This window comes from Homo sapiens, chromosome 4, assembly GCF_000001405.40.
Source record: "Homo sapiens chromosome 4, GRCh38.p14 Primary Assembly".
In the NCBI taxonomy this organism is placed as follows: domain Eukaryota; kingdom Metazoa; phylum Chordata; class Mammalia; order Primates; family Hominidae; genus Homo; species Homo sapiens.
In genome coordinates, this window is record NC_000004.12 from 100470591 (window position 1) to 100492683 (window position 22093).

At 34.4% G+C, this 22093-nt stretch overlaps 1 protein-coding gene and 1 long non-coding RNA gene across 5 annotated transcripts in view; one reads left to right on the forward strand and one right to left on the reverse strand.

Moving 5' to 3' along the window:
* Positions 1–22093, reverse strand: part of EMCN (endomucin) — a 122682-nt gene that overhangs the window by 75250 nt on the left and 25339 nt on the right. For all 4 annotated transcript variants that reach the window (NM_001159694.2, NM_016242.4, XM_011532024.4 and 1 more), the window contains exons 2-3: positions 9327–9449; positions 4448–4519 (exon numbers count right to left, since the gene is read on the reverse strand). In NM_001159694.2, coding sequence (NP_001153166.1) covers positions 4448–4519; positions 9327–9449 — 195 coding nt within the window. The remainder of the gene's footprint in view (positions 1–4447; positions 4520–9326; positions 9450–22093) is intronic.
* Positions 1–22093, forward strand: part of LOC124900740 (uncharacterized) — an 89972-nt gene that overhangs the window by 49220 nt on the left and 18659 nt on the right. The gene's annotated exons all lie outside the window — the stretch shown is intronic.

Below are 22093 nucleotides of genomic sequence, written 5' to 3' on the forward strand. Positions count from 1 at the left end.
GTTGCAGCACTATTCAGAAGAGTAAAGGCATGCAATCAACCTAAATGACCCATCAATGACAAATTGGATAAACAATATATGGTACATATACACCATGAAATACCATGCAGCTATAAAAAAGAATGAGATCATGTCCTCTGCAGGAATATGGATGAAGCTGGAGGACATTATCCTTAACAAATTAACACAGGAAAAGAAAATAAAATATTGCATGTTCTCACTTATAAGTGGGAGCTAAATGATGAGAACACATGAACACATAGAGGGGTCAAGGAATAAATCATAAAAAATATTAGAAAATACTTTGCAGTAAATGAATATGAAAACATAATATACCAAAATTTACGGAATGCAGAGAAAGCAATGGAAAGAAGGAAATTTATAGGTGTTAACACATATTAACAAGAAGAATAATCTCAATCAAAATCCTCACTGGCCAATTTGAGAAACTAGAAAAAGAAGAGCAAACTAAACCCATACGAAGCCGTGGGAAAGAAACACTAAGGATTCGAGAAGAATGAAATAAAATAGAGAATAGAAACACAACACAGAAAAAAAACACAAAAGTTTGTTCTTTGAAAAGATATATAAAATTGAGACACTTTTGGCTATGCTGATAAAGAAATAAGAGAGAGGAGTCAAGTTATCAAAATTATGAATGAAAGAGGATTCATTATTACCAACCTTACAGAAATTAGAAGGATTATAAGGCAATGCTGTGAACAACTATATGCCGACAAATTAGATAATCTAGATTAAATGGGCAAATTCCTAGGAAATCACTAACTACAAAAACTGAGGCAAGAAGAAATAGAAAATCTAATAGATTTATAATAAGTAAAGAAATTGTTAGTATTTTAAAAAAATTTCATAAAGAAAGCTCAGCACCAGGGTCTTCCCTGGAAAATTCTACCAAATATTTAAAGAGCAATTACCACCAATCCTCATAAACTCTTTCAAAAATTAGTAGAGAAGGGAACACTTCCCAACTTATTCTATGAGGCTAGTATTATTTTGATTTCAAAACTAGACAAATACATCACAAGAAAACTACAAACATATATTTCATGAATATAGACATAAAAATTCTTAACAAAATAATATAAATAAAGTTTAACACCATGTAAAAAGAATTATACCCCATGACCAAGTTGGATTTAGCCTAGGAATTCAAGGTTGACTCAACATATAGAAATCAATATCATATGCCACATTAACAAAATAAGGAATTTTTTAAAAACATGATAATCTCAATATAATAAGACAAGGCATTTTTAAAAATCCAATACCCTTGCATAATAAACACACTCAACGAACTAGTAATAAAAGAGAACTTCCTCATTCTGATAAAGGTCATTTATTAAAAACTCATAATTAACATCATACTTACTGGTGAAAAACTGACAGTTTTTCCTGAGAGTTAGAAACAAGACAAGGATGTCCCCTCCCACAACTTCTACTCAACCTTGTATTGAAGGTGCTAGCCAGGGTAGTTAAGCAATAAAATAAATAAAATAAAATTATAAATAAAAGAAAGTCATCCACACTGGAAAGAAGGAAGTAAAACTATCTATATTTGCAGATAACATAATCTTGAACATAGAAAATTCTAAGGAATACACATTCACATATACACACACACAAATTACAGTTAATAAGTTAGTTCAATAGAGTGGAAGGATATAATACTAACATATAAAAATAAATTATATTTCTATATAGTAGCAATGAATAATCCAAAATTGAAATAAAAAATTATTTTATTACAAAATAATTTTATTAAAAGTGAATAAAATATTAGGAATAAATTTTACAAAAATAAGTTTAAGCCTTCCACACTTGGAAACTACAAACATCATCAAAATAAATTGAAGAAGACATTGATAAACGGAAAGACATCCTATGCTCATGAATTGAAAGCCCTGATTGTTAAGATGGCAATACTCCTCAAATTGATCTACAGATTTAATGCAATCCCTATCACAATCCTAGCTGGCTTTGCAGAAATTGACAAGTTGATCTCAAAATTCACATTAAAATTAGTGTGATAAAATTGGCGTGATAAAGTTGAATAGCCAAAACAATCTTGGATAAAAAAGAAAAAGTTGGAGGACTCACATTTCCTGTTTTCAAAACTTAATACGAAGTAATAGTAATCAAGAGTATATGATTCTGACATAACAATAGGCATATAGGTATAAGTGGAGTAGATTCGGGAGTCCAGAAAAAACTCATATTAGGTGGATGCAAATGTAGTTGCAGCTTTTGCATTGTTGGAATGTACCATTTGATACTGGCATACATTCTTAAATAAATGTGGTTATGTTTTATAGATAGATAGATAGATATCCCTATCATAAAATAAACTTCTATATATATATTCTAGAAATATATATATTCTAGAAGTATATATATATATTATATATATATATTTTTTTTTTTTGAGGTGGAGTTTATTCTGTCGCCCAGGCTGGAATGCAGTGGCCCAATCTCGGCTCACTGCAACCTCCACCTCCTGGATCCAAGCGATTCTCCTGCCTCAGCCTCCCGGGTAGCTGGGATTACAGATGCGTGCCACCACGCCCAGTAAATTTTTGTATTTTTAGTAGAGACATACACATACTCAGGGTTTCACCATGTTGGTTAGGCTGGTCTTGAACTCCTGACCTCAAGTGATCCACACTTCTCGGCCTCCCAAAGTGTTGGGATTACAGGTGTGAGCCACTGCACCCGTCCATGTTATATATAATTCTAATGGGCATTTCCCGTTTCGTGTTTTTTTGTTTTTTTTTTTTGTTTTTTTTTTTGCTAATGACATCACTTGCTGTTTATGTTTATTTTAGACTATGGAAATGATGTTAGACAAAAACAAATCCAAGCGATTTTCTTATTTGAGTTCAAAATGGGTCGTAAAAGAAGCGCAGACAACTCACGATATAAACAAAGCATTTGTCTCAGGAATTGCTAACGAACATACAGTGCATTCAAGAAGTTCAAGAAGTTTTGCAAAGGAAAAGAGATCCTTGTAGATGAGGAGCATAGTGGCCAGACATCGGAAGTCCACAATGACCATTTGAGAGCAATCATTGAAGCTGTTTCTCTAACAACTACATGAGAAGTTGCCAAAGAACTCAAACCTTGACGATTCTACAGCCCTTTAGCATTTGAAGCAAATTGGAAAGCTGGGAAAATCTCGCTAAGTGGGTGCCTCATGAGCTGAGCGAAAATTAAAAAATCCTCGTTTTGAAGTGTCATCTTCTCTTATTCTACACGACAAACCATTTCTTGATCTGATTGTGATGTGCGACAAAAAGTGACAACTGGCAACAACTAGCTCAGTGGTTGGAGTGAGAAAAAGCTCCAAAGCACTTCCCAAAGCCAAACTTGCACCAAATAAAGGTCATGGTCACTGTTTGGTGGTCGGGTCCACTGCAGCTTTCTGAATCTTCAGGCTTCAAAAGATACTATCAACAAAATTAAAAGATAACCTATAGAATGGGAAAAATATTTGCAAATTATCTATCTTGTAAACTTCTAGTCTTGAATGTATACAGAACTCTTGCAACTCGACAATAAGAGGACAAATAGCCAAATTTTTAAAAAGATAGACAAAGAATTTGAGCGGACATTTTTCCAAGGACAATACACAAATGGCTACCAAACACATGAAATATGTTCAACATCATTAATCATTAGAGAAATATAACTCAGAGTCACAATGAGATACCAGTTCACACCCACTGAGATAATTATAATTAAGACAGACAAGTGTTAGCTAGAATATAGAGATATTGGAACTCTTGTATGTTGCTGGTGGAAATGTAATATAGTACAGCTGCTTTGGAAATCAGTTCCTTAAAATGTTAAACATAGAGTTAACCTGTGACTTAGCAATTCGGCCTCAAGACATATACTTAAGAGAAATGAAAAACGTAGGCAGACAAAAACTTGCACATAAATGTTCATAGCAGCATTATTTATAATCATTAGCAAGTAGAAACAATGCAGATGTTCATCAATTAATAAACGGATAAACAAAATGTGGTATATCCATACAATGCAATATTATTTAGTAATAAAAAAGAATGAACTACAGATACATGTTACAACATGGATGAACTTGAAAACTTTATGCTAAGTGAGAGAATCCAGACACAAAAGGTCATATATTGTATGATTCCATTTATATGAAATGTCCAGAACAGGCAAATCTATAAAGGAGGTTAGTGGTTACCAGAAGCTGGGAGGGGGATATGGGAAGTGATTGGTAATTAATACAGGTTTTCCTCTTGGGGAGATTAAAATGTGCTGAAATTAATAGTGGTGGTGGCTGTAAAATCTTGTTAAAATACTAAAAACTTCTGAATTGTACACTTTAAAAGGGTGACTATTATGTTATGTGAATTATATATTTTTTAAAATTGTAGAAAAATGAATCATTACTCACCTTCATCTTTACTTGTTAAAAAAGTAGCTGTTGACATCAGAGACATTTTAAGTAATTCATTGGTGATTGTTCCTAGTTTGATAAAATAGATTAAATTATTATTAATCATAATCTCATGTTATCTGTCAATAAATAAAGTAAGTTAAATCTATAGGTGGACTGGCATTCTCCTTTGTCTATCTTTAATTTTTCCCATTTTCCAGTTCGTTTTGTCTAAAGAATATATGTATATTAAATATATGTATATTAAATATTTGGGTGGCCTACACACACACACACACACACACACACACACACATTTTTCATAATAAGTCCCCAAAACAAGTTTCCACTGAAGATTGTTACTTAGGTATCTTTAAACATGCAAAAAATTGTTACAAAATTCTAAATTCTAATGTTTAAAATCATTTTATTTTTCCCTGTGAGAAAAGTGACATGGTCAATAGGACTTAGGAGTATCATGCCTTTTTTTTTTCTAGAATTACATTTCATTTTATTGATGTAGTTATGGCAGTGAAACTTCTAAATGAACATACATCATGAAGGAACTTGAAAACTTCCCTATTAATTTGTGTGCCCTTCTTTGCTCTTTGCTCTTGAGGGCAGTATCCAATTCTAGTCCTTTTTTTTTTTTTTTTTTTTTTTTTTTTTTTTTTTGGAGACAGAATCTCGCTCTGTCGCCCAGGCTGGAGTGCAGTGGCGCGATCTCGGCTCACTGCAAGCTCTGCCTCCTGGGTTCACGCCATTCTCCTGCCTCAGCCTCCCGAGTAGATGGGACTACAGGCGCCCGCCACCACGCCCGGCTAATTTTTTTGTATTTTTTGTTGGTAGAGACGGGGTTTCACCGTGTTAGCGAGGATGGTCTCGATCTCATGATCCTCCCACCTCGGCCTCCCAAAATGCTGGGATTACAGGCGTGAGCCACTGTGCCCAGCCTCTAGTCACATTTTTAATCTTAGTATCAAGAATTATTCCTGGCATACACTAGGCATTTAGTCAATGTTGTTTCAACTAAGGAAGCACTCATATAACATATGAAAATCAACCAAGGGGCAAATCTGCCCTAAGTAGTCAACATGACTCATCAGTTTGATACCTACTCTCCAACTCTCTGTAATGGTCTTTCTCCCTCCCTCCCTCCCTCCCTCCCTTCTTCCTTCCTTCCTTTCTCCCTCCATCCCTCCCTCCCTTCCTTCCTTCTTTCTTTCCTTCCTTCCTTTTTTCCTTCCTTCTTTCCTTCCCCTTTTTCTTCTCTCCTTCTTGCTTGACAAGGTCTTGCTCTGTCACCCAGGCTGGAGTCCAGTGGTATGAGCATACCTCACTGCAGAATCAGACTTCTGGCCTCAAGTGATCCCCCAATTTCAACCACCCAAAGTGCTGAGATTACAGGTGTGAGCCGCAGCACCCGGCCCCTCTTCTTTGTTCCTTCCTTTTTTAACAATTTTATTTGCAGGTTTGTTGCATGGGCATATTGTGTGATTAGGGCAAAAAGCTATTTATTTTTAAAGATATTATATTATTTTGAGTCAATAAATGTTTATAATAGATTAAATCATTAAGATATCATAATTTTATTCTCTGCAAAATTGTTTCTTAAACTAGCATTCATTCATGCCATTTTCCAAAACAATCTTTGAGAAACATGTTGAATTCTATTTAGGCTACAACTGTTTCAAAGAAATGCCTAATTTGTAAACATTTCATATTTTGTGATGATAAAGTAAAAGCAAAATATCAACTTTGCCACTTCAAAATTCTATGAAAAGGAGAAACCAAAAAATCATGTACAAAGATATCCCAGGCACTTCATTTTCTATTCAAATATAACAGGGAACAGAAAGACAATGAATAAAAGGAGAAAGACTACAGAGAAAAATGGGGTACCCAAACTCATTTTTTTCTGACTAATCATACAAGAAATTTCCAAGAATGTTTTTAAAATTTTGTTCTTTATAGTTGTATCTAGTTAGTTTCTACATAGAGGATGTACAATGGAAACATCACCATATTTAGCACCCTGTGTGAGATAGGTGGCCAAAAGCATCAGGCTCCTTTACTGACTTCAGCTGAAATTTCTGGTACTAAATATTTTATTATCAGAAACTGTTAGTATCACTGTTGAGAAACTTTTATTCCTGCATTATAATTCAACTCTAGTATTGAAAAATACTAGACTATTCAATGTTTTTAAAATGAAGCTGAATAATAATCAACTTTTTAACTTAAAAAAATTAAATTTCAAGTTTCTTTTTTATCCTAGAAGTTCATTTTATGATAGGGATATTCAACATCTGTCAAATGTTGATTTTTAACTCCAGCCTTTTGGCCTTGCACAAAATGTGCATTGCACTTGATGTACATCTAGGAAGAGGTCAAGTCCCATTTCTCTAATTGGGTGAATCTCTGAGAGCAAGCCCTGCTCCAGGCGAAGCTCTATCAATCACGTCTGCCACTTCAGTGATTATGTTGCTGCAAGAAGAATTCTCATCTCAGTTGCACATTTTCCACTTTTTTGATGATAGAATTTCTGCCATTGGCAAGAAAAATAAATTGTATGTGATTTAGAAAGACATAAGCACTACTAGACCAATGATCTTTTGACCTTTAAACAAAAGAATTCTGATTAGGAAGCCTTAAAATGAAAACAAAGATGCTTTTCCATGTTGTGTTTTTTTGGTAAATACTTTCATCGTGGCTAAGAGGACCATACTGGACATGAGAAAGAGGGAATAAGGGACTTCTTCACTACAGATACCTTTTTTTTTGTATTATTGAGTAATTTTAAAAATTATTATTTTGGAGAATGGGACAGTGTATAAAACTCCTCCAAATTTAAGCCCCTCAGAGTCCTGAAATTAGTAAGTCAAATTTACTGATACACAATCCCTAGAACATGATAATTCTTAAGATAAATTCTCCATCTCCTTTATTACTGTATACTAATTGCGTTGCTCTTTGGAAGATGGGCATATTAAGTGTACTTAGTCTGACTCATCTAACCCTTAATACACAGTGGTGATCAAGTAAGCCAGACAAAAAGGAGTTATTTTCTCTGTTGTCTTTGTCCAATGTTGTTCCCTCATTCTCCTATAAGCACCACGGACCCCAATTTGCCTAACGGCTTTCTCAGCCCTACCACTGTGCCAGAATTTCTGTTTCCCACTCTGGATCCAAGCAGCTGAGGACCTGAGAGCCTGCCTTTCCTGCTTTATCTCTCTTCCACCTCGCTCTCTCAGTAGCTCTCATTAGAGACCCTAGAATAGACTAACCTCCTTCCTTTAATTTCCCTCCCACTGCTAGATTTATGTTTCGAGATTTTAACCCTTAAAATTCTCAAAATAAATATCAGATGATACTAAAGTATTGTTATTTATTTGGAGGATTTGATGATGGCATGGTAGCTTTGTGATTGTCTATATTTTTTGAGATGCATATTTAATGTATAGAAGTAAACTGGCATGAAGTCTGGGTTCCCTTCAAAGTACCTTGACAACCAAATTAAGAGAGAGAGTGAAACAGAAAGAAGGCAGGAAGGGGAAATAAAAAGAAAAATGAAGCAAATGTGATAAAATCTAGATAAAGAGTGATTTGGGGAGATGGACATATGGAGATTAATTACAGTATTCTCTACTTTCGGATATAGCTGTCTATTTTTATAATAAAAATTGATAAAAAGTAAAACTTCTCTGACCCATTACATTCTTTATAATTGTATATGAATAATTTAACACTCAAGTGCATAACTACTGAAGGACACAGACAACAGTGTAGTTTATATTAAATGGGTAATATAAATCAGTGAAAGTGTCCCAAAAAAGGAGTGTGTGTGTGTATGTGTGGGTGTATGTATGTAACCTCAAGTATTCTATGCACTTGCTTCAAAGAAGGATGCTTCAGTGTTCTGCTATGGAGGGCCCCAAGTAGTAAAGTTGCTAAAAATGGTTTGGTTTCATCTTATAATCAAACAATGCAGAAATAATGGACTATGATCATAGTACTCTTTGTCTCTGAGAATCACCACCCTATTCAAGCCCAGCGAACTAGCTTTCATTGGTCTTCTGCATATGTTTGACCCTAGTCTTAGACTGAAAATTAAGGGGGGAATAGAAAGAGGTAAAAAAGACAGCATAAGAATTTCAGTTATCCATTCATCAAGATATATGATTTTCTGGGGTCTTTCTATGACCTTAGCATTCTAACCAGAGTTTTTGTCCATAGACAATCCACAAATCTGTTTTCCATTGATTACAGGACCTGTGTGATATGCCTTATTTTTTGTGTGTTGCAAGATGGGCAGATGCAGTATGCATTGCATTGATAATCTCTTGTTTTTTTTAATGGAAGTATTCTAATGGCTTTTAACATTTTTGTGGATGGTAAAGTAATCTCCTTTAATACCTAGCTAGATATAGTTGTCACTCAGTCCAGCAACAATAATGATTACATTGCTACTGAAACCTACAAGTTAAATCTATTATCAACAGAATGCAACCAACAAAACCAATCTGTTATTAATACAGTTTCACCATGTTGGCTGTGCTGCTTAGGTGGAGAACTGGAATATTTAGAAAGATATTTTATGACTTAGGACATGGCAATTTCTTTCTTCTCTAAAAATAAACTTTGTGTATGTAACATTCACAATAGAATCATTCTCAAACAGGTTGTGATCCCAAAGAATATCAACAAAGCGGCCCACTGAGATCTCAGGGTTTTGTATGGAACCCCAAATAACACATAATTTCAAAATCGTGAAATAGCACTGACCTTTATAACAATCAGATATAAGATCCCGAATTATTTTTTCATACTGATGTATATACATACTACTAATTTTATTTGTTAAAGTTAAACTAAATTTACTAACAGTTAATCCTACCTTTAGGAGTTGTTCCAGTTGTTGGTGTGACAACATTTTTCTGTAATGATTCTGTGTTTGGTGTTGTTATAGATGGTTTTGTTGTAGTAACAACAAGTGAATTATTAGCTGCCTCTAAAACACCTGAAAAAAGTAAAGTAGTTGCATTAACATTTACATATAGTTTGCCAATTAATAGACTAGTATATTTAAACAAGTGTACTGGTCAGTAGAATGTGAATTTGCAACCAATTTTCCAGTTGTAATCAATTTATCCTTAGCTCAGCATTTATTCATTAACTGCATCTACTTCTCCCCAGTGGCATGAATTTTCAAGATGGCTGGTAGGAGCAGTTTGTGGTTTCAGAGCAATATAATTTCTGAGAAAACTAATGAGGAATAAATGTATAAATCTGAAATTTAATAATATTTTTAATCCAACGAAACTAACCTTGCCAGATGAAATGCTTAAATGGGCACTCTCTGGGCAGTAGATGTTTCACTAAATATTTTTACATCACATTAAAGTTATTAAGTAGTAAAATGTCAAAATTAGTATATGTCTTCTTGATATAAAGCACTCTATATAAATGTGTACTATATAAAGTATAAAATATAAAACATTATAATTAATAAAGACAAGAGTATACATATATACATATACATATATGTGTATATATATACACACACATATATATACACACAAAGATAAGTTCCAAAGAAAGACAATAATCTTTAATGAAATTCAACAACTGCAACATACTTAAAAGTAATAGGGCCACCATAAATCCACATTTTTTAATTGTTTATTTCTCTAAATTTTAACATTAATTGGGCAGGCAAAGGCACAGAAATGAAGGCAATACATTTTGATCCATATTATATATTTCTTTTAAATAAGGATTCTTAAAACTTCTATTGAAACAAATGATGAAATCAGTCTTCTGTAACAACCAGAGTTGGCAAAATCATCATTTCATTATTATTTTTCAAAGTGAAGTATGTAAGATTTAACTCAGTGTTCTATGAAAAGATTTACTTCACATAAAATTATTGTAATTTATTAGCATTTATAAAATATTTTTAGTCCTGTATTTTGTTGTTTTCATCTCTGGAAATACAGTTTTATGTTAAAAATCAAAATACAGCGAGCAAGTGTATAAGAGAATTTGGAAAAAAATATTCACGTCTATGGAAAGCATTGTTTTTTGTTGTTACTTGGTCTGGATAGAGTATATATACCATGTTAGTTAAGAGGATGGACTTTGAATAATACAGGCATATTCAAATCCCAGTCAAACTGGGTATGTTATTATAGTAAATGTATGTCAATAGTATGACTTCTCAAATTTAAATTACATTTGAAATGTTCCTTTTGAATCTGAGAAAAACCAATAATCTAGCATGTCAGTGAAACTAATATCTCAAATGTCATGACATAGAGAATATGTGCTGTATAATTTTATAGTCTTGAGATGCTTGGAAGTGTTAGTTCTTAGCACTGACTCTTTATAGATAGCACATAGAAATTGCTTGATGTATTCAGCACATAGAGAAAAGTGTTCAGCACATACAGAAATGATAGAACTGCATTTTCACAGGCTTTATGGAAATCAAGTCAAAAGCTTTTTTCACCTCTGGAGGTGCACTTCACACCCTTGGTCTTACCTCCCTACCCCACAATATTCAGCAGGGAGCAGGAATGCAGCCTCTAGAAGCTTATCTTTTCTCCATTAGTCATTTTGTTCTGGCTATTTTTGTTTTAGCCTTAACTTCTATGATGTAACACTAATTTTAAATTTCATATTGAGGTTGAAGAAATTACAAAATAAATACCACTTAGACAGGAAAATTCACCTATAAATAGCCTGAATGATCCTCACCTATGGACTTCCTAAATAGTAACATTCTTAATTTCTGAGCATAATCAACGTCTTTAGAGATGTTTTCCTTCCTTCCTTCCTTTCTTCCTTCCTTCCTTCTTCCCTTCCTCCCTTCCTTCTTTCCTCCCTCTTTCCTTCTTTCTCTTCCTTCCTCCTTCCTTCTTTCCCTTCCTTTCCTTCTCTCGTTTTCTCCCTCAATATTTATTGAGCAACTACTTATGTAAAAATCATGATTAGATACAATAAAAGACTCTATGATTTATCACATGATATCAAACATTACTTTCAGTCTGGTAGGAAATATAATGCCTATGCACAATAAATAATAATGTATATCATATATGGGTTGTATAAACCAGTGTTTTTCATACTGCAGGTTGTGATACAATTAAAGAATAATTAAATCTCTGTAGTAGATTACAGTCAGAGCTTTTTCCAAGTTGGTAAAGAAAAGAAACAATATGAGAGTGGTATTGCAAATAATAGGGTAAGTATTGTTTCATGAAGCTTTGGTATAGGTGTGTGTGTGTGTGTTGTGTGTAAGTCTGCACGAAATGTGTGCCAATGCAAAATACATTTCTTAATGTGATTCTAGTTAAAAATTTGAAAGCTGCTGGACAAACAATAAATTGGAAAAGACTTTATAAGATAAAATAAGACTACTCTGCTGGCATGAATAATGAATACTTCATGCTAGGAGCTAGGGCTGGAAGAGTAATAATATATCCATGCAGGGAGAGGAAAGGGCATGAGCAGAGCTCTGGAGTGGAGAAGTGAAAGGTATTTCAGAGTACTGCAAACAGTTCTGTCTAGCTGGATTGCAGTGTGCTATGAAGGAACATAGTGCGCATGATCTGGGAAAATACTGAAGGCGAACTGTAGAGGACCATGAACACCCAGACCAAGATTTAAGATTTTATCAAGTCACTGGAGAGCCATGGAAAGTGACCAAACAGAAATTCCACCCTAGGAAAGACAATGGGAAAATGCATGGGGCAGAGAATGAGAAGACACCAGTTGGATCAAGCTGCAAGCCTTCATTTTTATATTTATTAATGTCCTCTGCCCTTTTGAAGTCATCATGTGACATCAATGAGTTCACATCCAAAAAATGACTGTATGAAAACTACAATTAAGTGAATTTCTAACCACTGGTGCAGTAAGATTGAGATGTACTGTAAGGCTTTTCCTCCTCAACATCCTTAAACATATTTGGCCCCTGATTTCCCCTGAGTCAAACTTTAATTAATTAGTACTCTTTAACATCTCTATTATTAGTTCTTTGGGTTGTTTAACAAACAGCATGCCCTCTTTTGGCAAGGGCTGACAACTCCTAAAAGTACTGAGTGTGCCATATTCCAGGCTCAATGTAAATACTTTCTGTGGGTTATCTAATTTAAAGACACAAAGAGGCTCATATTCTTATGATCATCATTTTATGGATAAGCACACTGAGGCTCAAAAAGGGTAAACAGTTTGCCAACACTATGCACTGTTAAGTGATATAGTTGGTATTTAAATTCAGACAGCCTTGACTTCAGATAATATATTCTTAACCATCACACATCTGGCCATAAGAAGGTAGTGTTATGCAAAGCTACATACCTCAGCTCCAGCTGCTCTCTGCTTTTGACAGGGTGTGATAGTGACTAGGCACACACATGTTTTGCTCTTATGTAACTACAATGAGGAAATAGACAAAATAGTTCACTATTTTTTTCTTGAAAAAAACCAAACATTTCAAGTGCCACATATATACATGTGTATGTATACATACGAACACATAAAATGTTTCCATATTAGACTTCAAGCTTCAAAGGAAATTTCCCACTGGATAACACTATTTAGATCTGAAAAATGCAAAAAAAAGTTTTTCATTTAGAAAAATTTTGCAACTGGAAACTTTGTCTTACCATGTGGTGGAAAAGAATTATTTCCTCTAACTACCATGGTTGAAGGTTTTGTAGACCATGATGCAAGTAACACCAGATATGCTTTTACTGTATTATCTGTAAATTCCTTCTAGGTCTTATTTGATTTTGTAATAAACCATTGAGAGGAATAGCTTATTCTAAAGTATCTCCTTTTCACAGGACATGGTGAGATACTATTTTTTTCCTCTGTATGTCAAAATGATTAAAGATAAATTTAACAAGGCAAATTGAGCCTCATGACTTTACTTGTGCCAAAGCAGATAGCGCTGCTCTTGGGATGTTGTAAGAGAAACAGATGGTATTTTGTCCTGATTCTACCCTGTCCCCATATATCCAGACTTAGAGAGCTCAAGGGATACTGTGATACGAGTTTCCTGTACTACAAAGGATGAAGCATTATCTGAATATTAAGAAAATAACTATTCTAATTATAAAAATTCTATGATAGATTTTTGCTGAGGTCTTTCCATAGATTCTGAAATAGTTCTGTATTCTCTGAAGTTCAATATAGGAAATTCCCAAATGTGCACATATAGGGTCTTTAATGTGAACTTGCTTTGTTTTTTATCTTTGAGAATTCAGCTTATAGTTGGAAACTAAATATATTTTCTCTGTTTTCAAATGATAAAGTCATCTACTCTTTGTAATTACAAAGCATGTCTAATCTTTGTAATTATATTTTTAGATAATTGTCAAATAGTCACTAAAAGGTTTTTGTTTAAAGGGACAGGGTCTTGCTATTTTTCTCAGACTGGCCTTGAACTCCTGCGCTCAAGATATCATCTCACCTATGCCTCCTGAGTAGCTAGGATTACAGGTGTGCACCATGACTGGCTAAAGTCAGAGTTTTTATCCATTCTTATAATGAGTAGTGCTCTCTCCAGCTATCTTTCCTCTTTGGGACGGCGGATCACCTCTCCTTTACTAAGTCTACACCTAAAGTCCAGTAGAAATCCACTACTAAAGAAAGTAGATCTGGCTTCTTCTAGATCAACATAAACATTGAAGACAGTAACTTAAAATTCCAGGATGATTTGAGATCGGGAAATAAATTTTTTGGTATCCTAATGAAATATAATCTTTGCATTTTCTAGCTTAGAAAAGTTATGAGTTTTAGGGTAGTTTCAGAAGATCATAGCACCAATTAGTAAAAAAGTTTCTTTTATTTCTATTTCAGTACTCTTGATTACATGATATACAAAAATCTGTTTTTGTTTCTAATTATACTACTTGGGTATATGGAATGCACTTGCCCTCTGAATTATCTCTGAGAACATATTTACTTGCCAGTGTGCTCCATAAACAAAATTTTGGAAGGAAGGTTTAAACTCTTAAAGAAAATGATTTCTTCAAAAATATATAATTACGGTACATGCAAAATGCTAATTACCAGGTGGTCTTATAAATGTCAAATGCCCTATTATTAGGTAATAATGTCATAACCTAGACCAACTAATTTATGGAATTGATATTAAAACAATTTTAATTCTTAACAACTTACAATGTCTTATTTCTACAAATTTATATGGTCTTCATGCATTGCTACCTTGTATTTATTCCCAGCAACTCAGTGTTTTACAATTTTTTGAAAATTTTATCTTAAAATAAAATAATTGCCAGTTTTTCAGTTATGATTTTGTGCATTTTTATTCTCTGGTGTATCACAGTATATCATGAACAAAAATGTACTTCTTAAGTTTGCATGTAATGGCAATGCATAAATTGGGACTTATAAATGGTAGGAGGGTCCCTTTTCATTGTAATTTTTCAGTAATTGCTAACATTATAATTCTTATTGTATACTTTCTATGGCAGCAAATGACCATTAATGAACTGTAAGTTGAAAATTTCTGTCTTTCTCACATATTAAAGAGATATATAAAATATATACATAAAAATATAATAAAATATACAAAAATAGATACAAATAAAATAAAGTACTGTTTCCATATTTGCATCAAATAGTCTTCATAAAAGACCTGGCACCAACTTCTTTTTGATTATTAATTTCATATTAACACGGTTGTACACTAATGGTGCTCCTTCTCTTTTGATATGGGAGAGGTCACTTTGATCCATGGCCAACCACATTAAATGCAGCAAATTTTTTCAGTTAAAAGAAAAAAATTATTATGTGATGATGCAACCTGGATAATTTCTTCTGTTTGCCTTCCTCCAAAAATTGTAAGATATCATATAAAAATGTATAAGTAACTCATTAGCCAAGAGTCATTTGCCTCAATAAATATTTATTCAGCATCAATTTCAACAGGTGTTAAGCACAATTTTAAAATGTGTGTTTTTCCTAGAGTAACTTAAAAGTTTTTTTCTGATGCTTAAGCTATAAATACATGTGAAACAACTAGAAGATTATGCTTGCAGTTGTGCCATATAAAAATGGTGTTATATAATTAGTACTATACATAGCTGGTTCTACACAATATTAAGTGAAATCAAAGTGAGGTCATGTCTCTCTACGTGTCTGGCATAATCAGAAATTATTTTCTTGGAGGAAAATTTTTCAAGAAAAGCCAGATAACTGAACACAACAGGGAAAGAAAAAAGTTTATATTCAAATAGAAGAGGAAAACCAATAGTGCCAATAATAGGAGGTCCAAAAAGGGACATTGACAATGTTACACATTAATAAGCCTAATATTTTGGGAGGGGAAATCAGGGAAATCCCATTTACAATGAAAACATCAGAGCTAGGGGCAACTCTTGTAAAAGAAGCTTTTAAATTTAAAGTACATTTTCAATTAAAGCTAAAAAGTATTGTAGCAAGCACAACAGTTCTGAGAGTGTTTAAATTTCCTATATGAAATGACTTTGGAAGATAAGTAAGAAAATCTCATCTCTCGCAGAGAGAAAAATATTTAGATAAGTGGGAGAAAGCTGCACCTGAAAGAGGAATCTCCTCAGGTTGCCAGCCATCTGTGAGGTGGGGAGGGAGTGCCAAGCCTGGCAGGCTCTGAGATTGGACAGGTGTCTCAGCCACCTGGCCGCTCTGGGGAGAACAGGAAGACAGCATTCCAGTGGTGAGTTTGTTAAACAGAAAACAACAATATCTGCAAAATGGACCCAAGAACCTGAGATGTCCTGGCTGACAAATGGATGGAGGTGTACAAGGTAAATTGCCTACACTCACCCAGGTGTCTTGTTCAAAAGTACGGGGCCATGCAGTTATTTTTCCTTCACAAATGGATAATTCTTCAAAGATCATGTTCCATAGTAATGAGATATTTTTAGATTGTGGACTTTAGTATAAGGAGTCATTTTATATATTATAGCCAGTTTGGTTGAGGAATTTCAAATCCTGAGGTAAAAAAGGCAAAGGTTACATTTAATATTTATAAATGTAGGAGTGGGAGGAAAAAGGAATATCTTGGCAATGCTCCTTGGCCTTCAGACACTTGTCCTGAGATCCCTTTCTTCCTCCATACAGTTCTCTGAATCTAGAAAGGAACTATGGTTCTGCAGCTCAAAAACTACCTTCCAACGAAGTAAGATGCTGGGGCTCAGCACATCCCTGTAAGCAACAACAAATCCTTATAAGGAAGTTACCTTCCAAGGAAGTAAGATGCTGGAGCTCAGCACATCCTTGTAGGGAGCAACAAAAGCAATCAAGTCTCTTGGATCCATCTCATGACTTCAGACAAGGGATCACTTTGGGTGCCCTCTCAGTCCTGAGGGGAGCAGCACTGCTTTGTCCCTTTTCTGGGCTCCACATAGAGGAGGGGAAAGTAGGAGAGGATGCAGTTCCTATTATCTCTTGAATTAAATCTTCGGCTTTTGATAGAGTTAGGAGTTGTGTCCCCACCCAAATCTCATCTTGAATTGTGATCTCCATAATCCCCATGTGTCAAGGGAGAGACCAGATGGAGATAGCTGAATCATGGGGACAGTTTTCCCCATGCTGTTTTCATGACAGTGAGTGAGTCTCATGAAATCTGATGGTTTTATAAAGGGTATTTCCTGTGCACTTGCACACATGCTCTCCCACCTGCCGTCATGTAAGACATGAGTTTGCTTCTCCTTCACCTTCCACTGTGATTGTAAGTTTCCTGAGGCATTTCCAGCAGTGCAGAACGGTGAGTCCATTAAACCTCTTTTCTTTATAAATTACTGAGTCTTGGGTACTTCTTCATAGCAGTATAGAATGGACTAATACAGCTTTCCTCTGAACTTCAAAGGTAGCCACTTACAATCTTAATTTGTAAAGTACTGGCTCTCCTGAGCATTTCTTTGGAGACAAGGAGAGTCTCACTGGACACTTTTTACTAGCAGATCACATTAGTTTAGTATAGTGACTTGCACACATGAAATGGCATGATGGAAGAAAATTACAAACCTGGCAACTCTGACATTAGCTAACTGTGTAACTGTGTGAGCCACTTTACCTTGCTGGGCCTCCATTTTTTCATCTATAAAAAGTGACTATTGAGCAATGTCTCCTCAACTGTGAAACTGTATTACATCTAAGGTTCAGTTACAATGTAAATATCCATCATGACAAATAATAAAGAATAACTTGCATTTATACATATCAAGGGGAAGCTTGTATGTCAGGAGTTCTACATAATTGGTCTATGGAGTTATTAACTTCTTACCTGGGAGAAATCTGTGCCCAAAAGGGAATTGTGTATTTTAGGGGACAAAGATAACTACATTCATTTACAATTTGGTGATGTTGCCTGGATTAAATGTATTTCCCTTTAGTGTGTTGATCTACCCAGAACTAGAGAAAATGTTAAAGGTAAAATTTGAAACAGACATTTGGAATACTTTGCTTTGGAATTTTCTTTTCACCATAGAAGAGCAAGTATAATAAGATGAAATCTTTTTATAGATAAATCAATTCCTACCTGAATAAACAGAGCCCATATTCAATACGTTAGCTAATTCCCTTTTAAAGTGTAGTATGTGTATGTTATGCCTATAATTAGTGAAAACTGAGTTTCTAAAAATAGTCTACAGTATTGCACTTGAAGCTAGAACATGATATTTGACTGAGTCTGAGATGTCTTGCTTTTCATATTATCTACTCTTATTTTTCTTTTCTCTAAATGTAAAGAAAAACTATTTAGTTGATTTAAAATACTCCTTAGTTTGTATCAACTGAAAGACTAGTTATAAAGGGGTAAAATTTTAAAAGTTATTTTTACCTTCTAAAAAATCAGAGAGAATTTTTTTTGCCCTGAAAGGTTGTTTTAAGTTACAGAAAATGTAACTTAAATGACTGGCATTCCAAGAAAACAAGCACATATAACAATAATTACTTTTATTTACATTATTTGATTCTAATAACAATTTTGTGAAACAGTTGAACAGGCACTACTTGTATCTCCATTTTATAGATGGAGAAACCTGGTAACCAATTTTGACTTTTGAAGATGCAGTCAGAAAGTGTTAGAGCCTTGTTCAAATTCAGGTGATCTAGTCTCAGCTTCCATGTTCTCTTTCTCTACATTGGCTATAGGTTTAGAACTGTAATATGAAATTATGCTGTTTGTGGTTGCAGTATTCCCATGCTACTACTTTAGTACTCTGATGACTTTAAAGAGTTCATTTTTCCCTTATGCTATTCCTAATCATTATGAAAATAAATGTAACAAATTAGGGTATATGATCTTATGGTAATTCTATTTTTAATTTTTTGAGGAACCTCCATACAGTTTTCCACAATGATGGTAGTAATTTAGATTCACAGCAGCAGTGTGGAGTCATGTGACACATAACACCATTTCAGTCAGTGACAGACCACATATGCAAGAGCAAGATGATAAAGGAGCTGAAAAATTCCTGTTGTCTAATGACATCATAGCTGTTGTAATGTTGCAGTACAATGCATTACTGACATGTTTGTGGTGATGCTAGTATAAAAAAACCTGTGCTGCCAGTCATGTTCAAGTATAGCATATATAATTATGTACAGTATATAATATCTGATAATGATAATAAATGACTATGTTACTGGTTTATGTATATACCATACAGTCAACCCTCTATATCTGCACCTACAAATTCAACCAAATGCGGTATTTCTGGGATACAAAACCTGTGGATACGGAAGACCAGCTTTTCATATCTGTGGGCTCCACAAGGCCGACTGTGGGACTTGAGCATGCCTAGATTTCAGTACCTGCAGGTGTCCTAGAACCAACCTCGTTGGATACTGAAACACAACTGCATTACTTTATTATCATTATTTTAGAGTGTACATCTATTTATTTAAAAAAAGATGGTTAACTAGAAAGCAGCCTCAGAGAGTTCCTTCATTAGGTATTTCAGAAGAAGACATTATTATAGGAGATGATAGCTCCATGAATGTTATTGCCCTTGAAGACCTTCCAGTGGGACAAGATGTGGAGGTGAAAGAGAGTGATATTGATGATCATAGCCCTGTGTATGGCTAGGCTAATATGTGTTTTTGTGTCTTAATTTTTTACAACTTGAAAAAGTAAAAAAAAAAAAAAAGATTAAAAACAGAAAAAAGCTTATAGATTAAGAATATTAAAAAAGAAACTATTTTTGTACAGCTGTGCAATGTGTTTGTGTTTTAAGCTAAGTGTTATTACAAAAGACTCAAAAAGTTAAAAAAATTAAAAATGTCATAAGGTAAAAACATTACCATAAGATAAGCTTAACATATTAGTATAGAAAAAAATATTTTTTATAAACTTGGTATAGCCCAAGTATACAGTGTTTATACAGTCTATAGCATTGTGCAGTAAATTCCTAGACCTTCACATTCACTGGCCACTCACTCACTGACTCACCCAGGGCAACTTCCAGTCCTGTAAGCCCTATTCATGGTAAGTGCCCTATACAGGTGTACTGTTTTTACTGTGCCTTTTCTATGTTTAGATACATGCATACTTACCATTGTATTTAAATTGCCTACTGTATTCCATACAATAACATGTTACATCGGTTTTTAGCCTAAGAGCAAGAGGTTATACCATAAGGCCTAGGTGTGTAGTAGGTTGTGTAAGTGCGCTTTATGATGTTCACACAATGACCTAACAAGACGTTTCGTAGAATGTATCCCCATCATTAAACACTGCATGACTGTACTAGGGTTCCGTTTTCTCTACATCCTATCTAATACATATCTTCTTTTATATTTTTTATAGTAGCCATTCTAACAGGTATGAGGTGGTATCTCATTGTGATTTTAATTTGCATTTTCCCTAAAGATTAACGACATTGAGCATTTTTTCATATATCTGTTGGCCATTTATATGTTTTTACTGAGAAATGTCTCTTTAGTTCTCTTACCCATTTCCAGTTGGGAATTATTTTCTTTCTATAGAGTTGTTTGAGTTTCTTATATATTCTGGATACTCTTTTATGATAGCTATGGCTTGCAAATATTTTCTCCCTATCTATAGGTTGATTCTTCATTCTGTTGTTTCCTTTGATGTATAGGGCTTTTTATTTTTATGTAATCCCATTTGTCTGTTTTAGCTTTTGTTGCCTGCATGTGGGGGATCAAATATAAAACAAACTTTGCCTAGACTAATGTCTCTATTCTGTTCCATAGGTTGATGAATCTACTCTTACGCTAGCACTATACTATTTTAATTACTATTGCTTTGCCGAGGAACTAGCTGCACCACACTTGGGAATTTAACAGCTCTCTGCATGGCCTCAAAGTCCATCTCCAGTTCTTGCCAAGGGAGGGAGATGACCATCACAGCAAATTTTAGCAAAGATCAGAGGCTAAATCTGCCATACCTATGAATTTAAACAGTGTTCAGCCAAACCTAAAAGCCCCCCTGCCTCAAGGCTCCCCATAGGCAGGTGGGCAAACTTCAACCGTGCAATTCTACAGAGCAAAGCAGTTGGTCCCATCCATCCTGATCAGCAACTCCACCTAACCTTAGGGCCCCTTCAGCAACCCTGTCCAACTCTTAAAATAAAATAGTGGTACCACTTGACCAAGGAATAGACCCTGTAACCTGGCCCAACATGAGGTGGTTGCAGTGCCTATCCAGCAGCTTAGCCTGATAACAGAGGTCAGTCAGTGGTCTTGCCACATAGCAGAGCCCAGCCAGCTGCCTCACCCAAATTAATAGCAAAGGCAGTAGGCCAGCTATCTAGAGAACTCAAAAGCAGGCTCTCTCTGACCAGGGTTGTTACCAACTGGTTCATCTAGAATCACAGGCTAGACTAAATAGTGAAAGTTTATTCCTTCCAAAGAACACCTGTGAAATTTAGAAAAAGTAGCTGTCTCCTCACATGTACAGACACCAATGCAAGGATACGAGGATTACAAAGACTTAGGAAATGATGACACCTCCAAAAGAAACTATTAAAGTCCCAACAGTAACCCTAAAGGGAGATCTAAGAAATGACAGGAAAAATATCAGAGTAATTCTCTTGAAGAAGTTCAATGAACTATAAGAAAATAGGAATAAAAAATTAATGAAATTAATACACAAACATTAAATGAAACAATACAATACACAAACAAAATGAGAAGTATGACAAAGAAATAGAAACAACTTAGAAAACCAAATAGAAATCCTTGAGATAAAGAATACAATGACTAAACTGAAAAATGCAATAGAAAGCTCCAGCATCAGACTCAAAGAATCAGTGAGCTTAAAGATAGAACATTTGAAATTGTCCAATCAGAGGAGCAAAAAGAAAAAAGAATGAAAAAAGCCTGTAGCAATTGTGGGATACCATTAAGAGACCAAACATACACATAATGGGAATTTAAGAGAAAAGCAAAAGAGGAAAAGAAAGAGAAAAGAGACAGCATATTTAAAGAAGTAATGGCTGAAAACTTCCCTAATCTGGGGGAAAATTTTAACATTCAGATACAGGAAGTGCAGATGTCTTAAATCAAATTCGATCCAAATATGAGTTCACCAAGACACATCACAATCAAACTACCAAAACATTAAAGATGAATAAAAAATTCAGAAAGCAACAATAGATAAAAAACACATCATATATA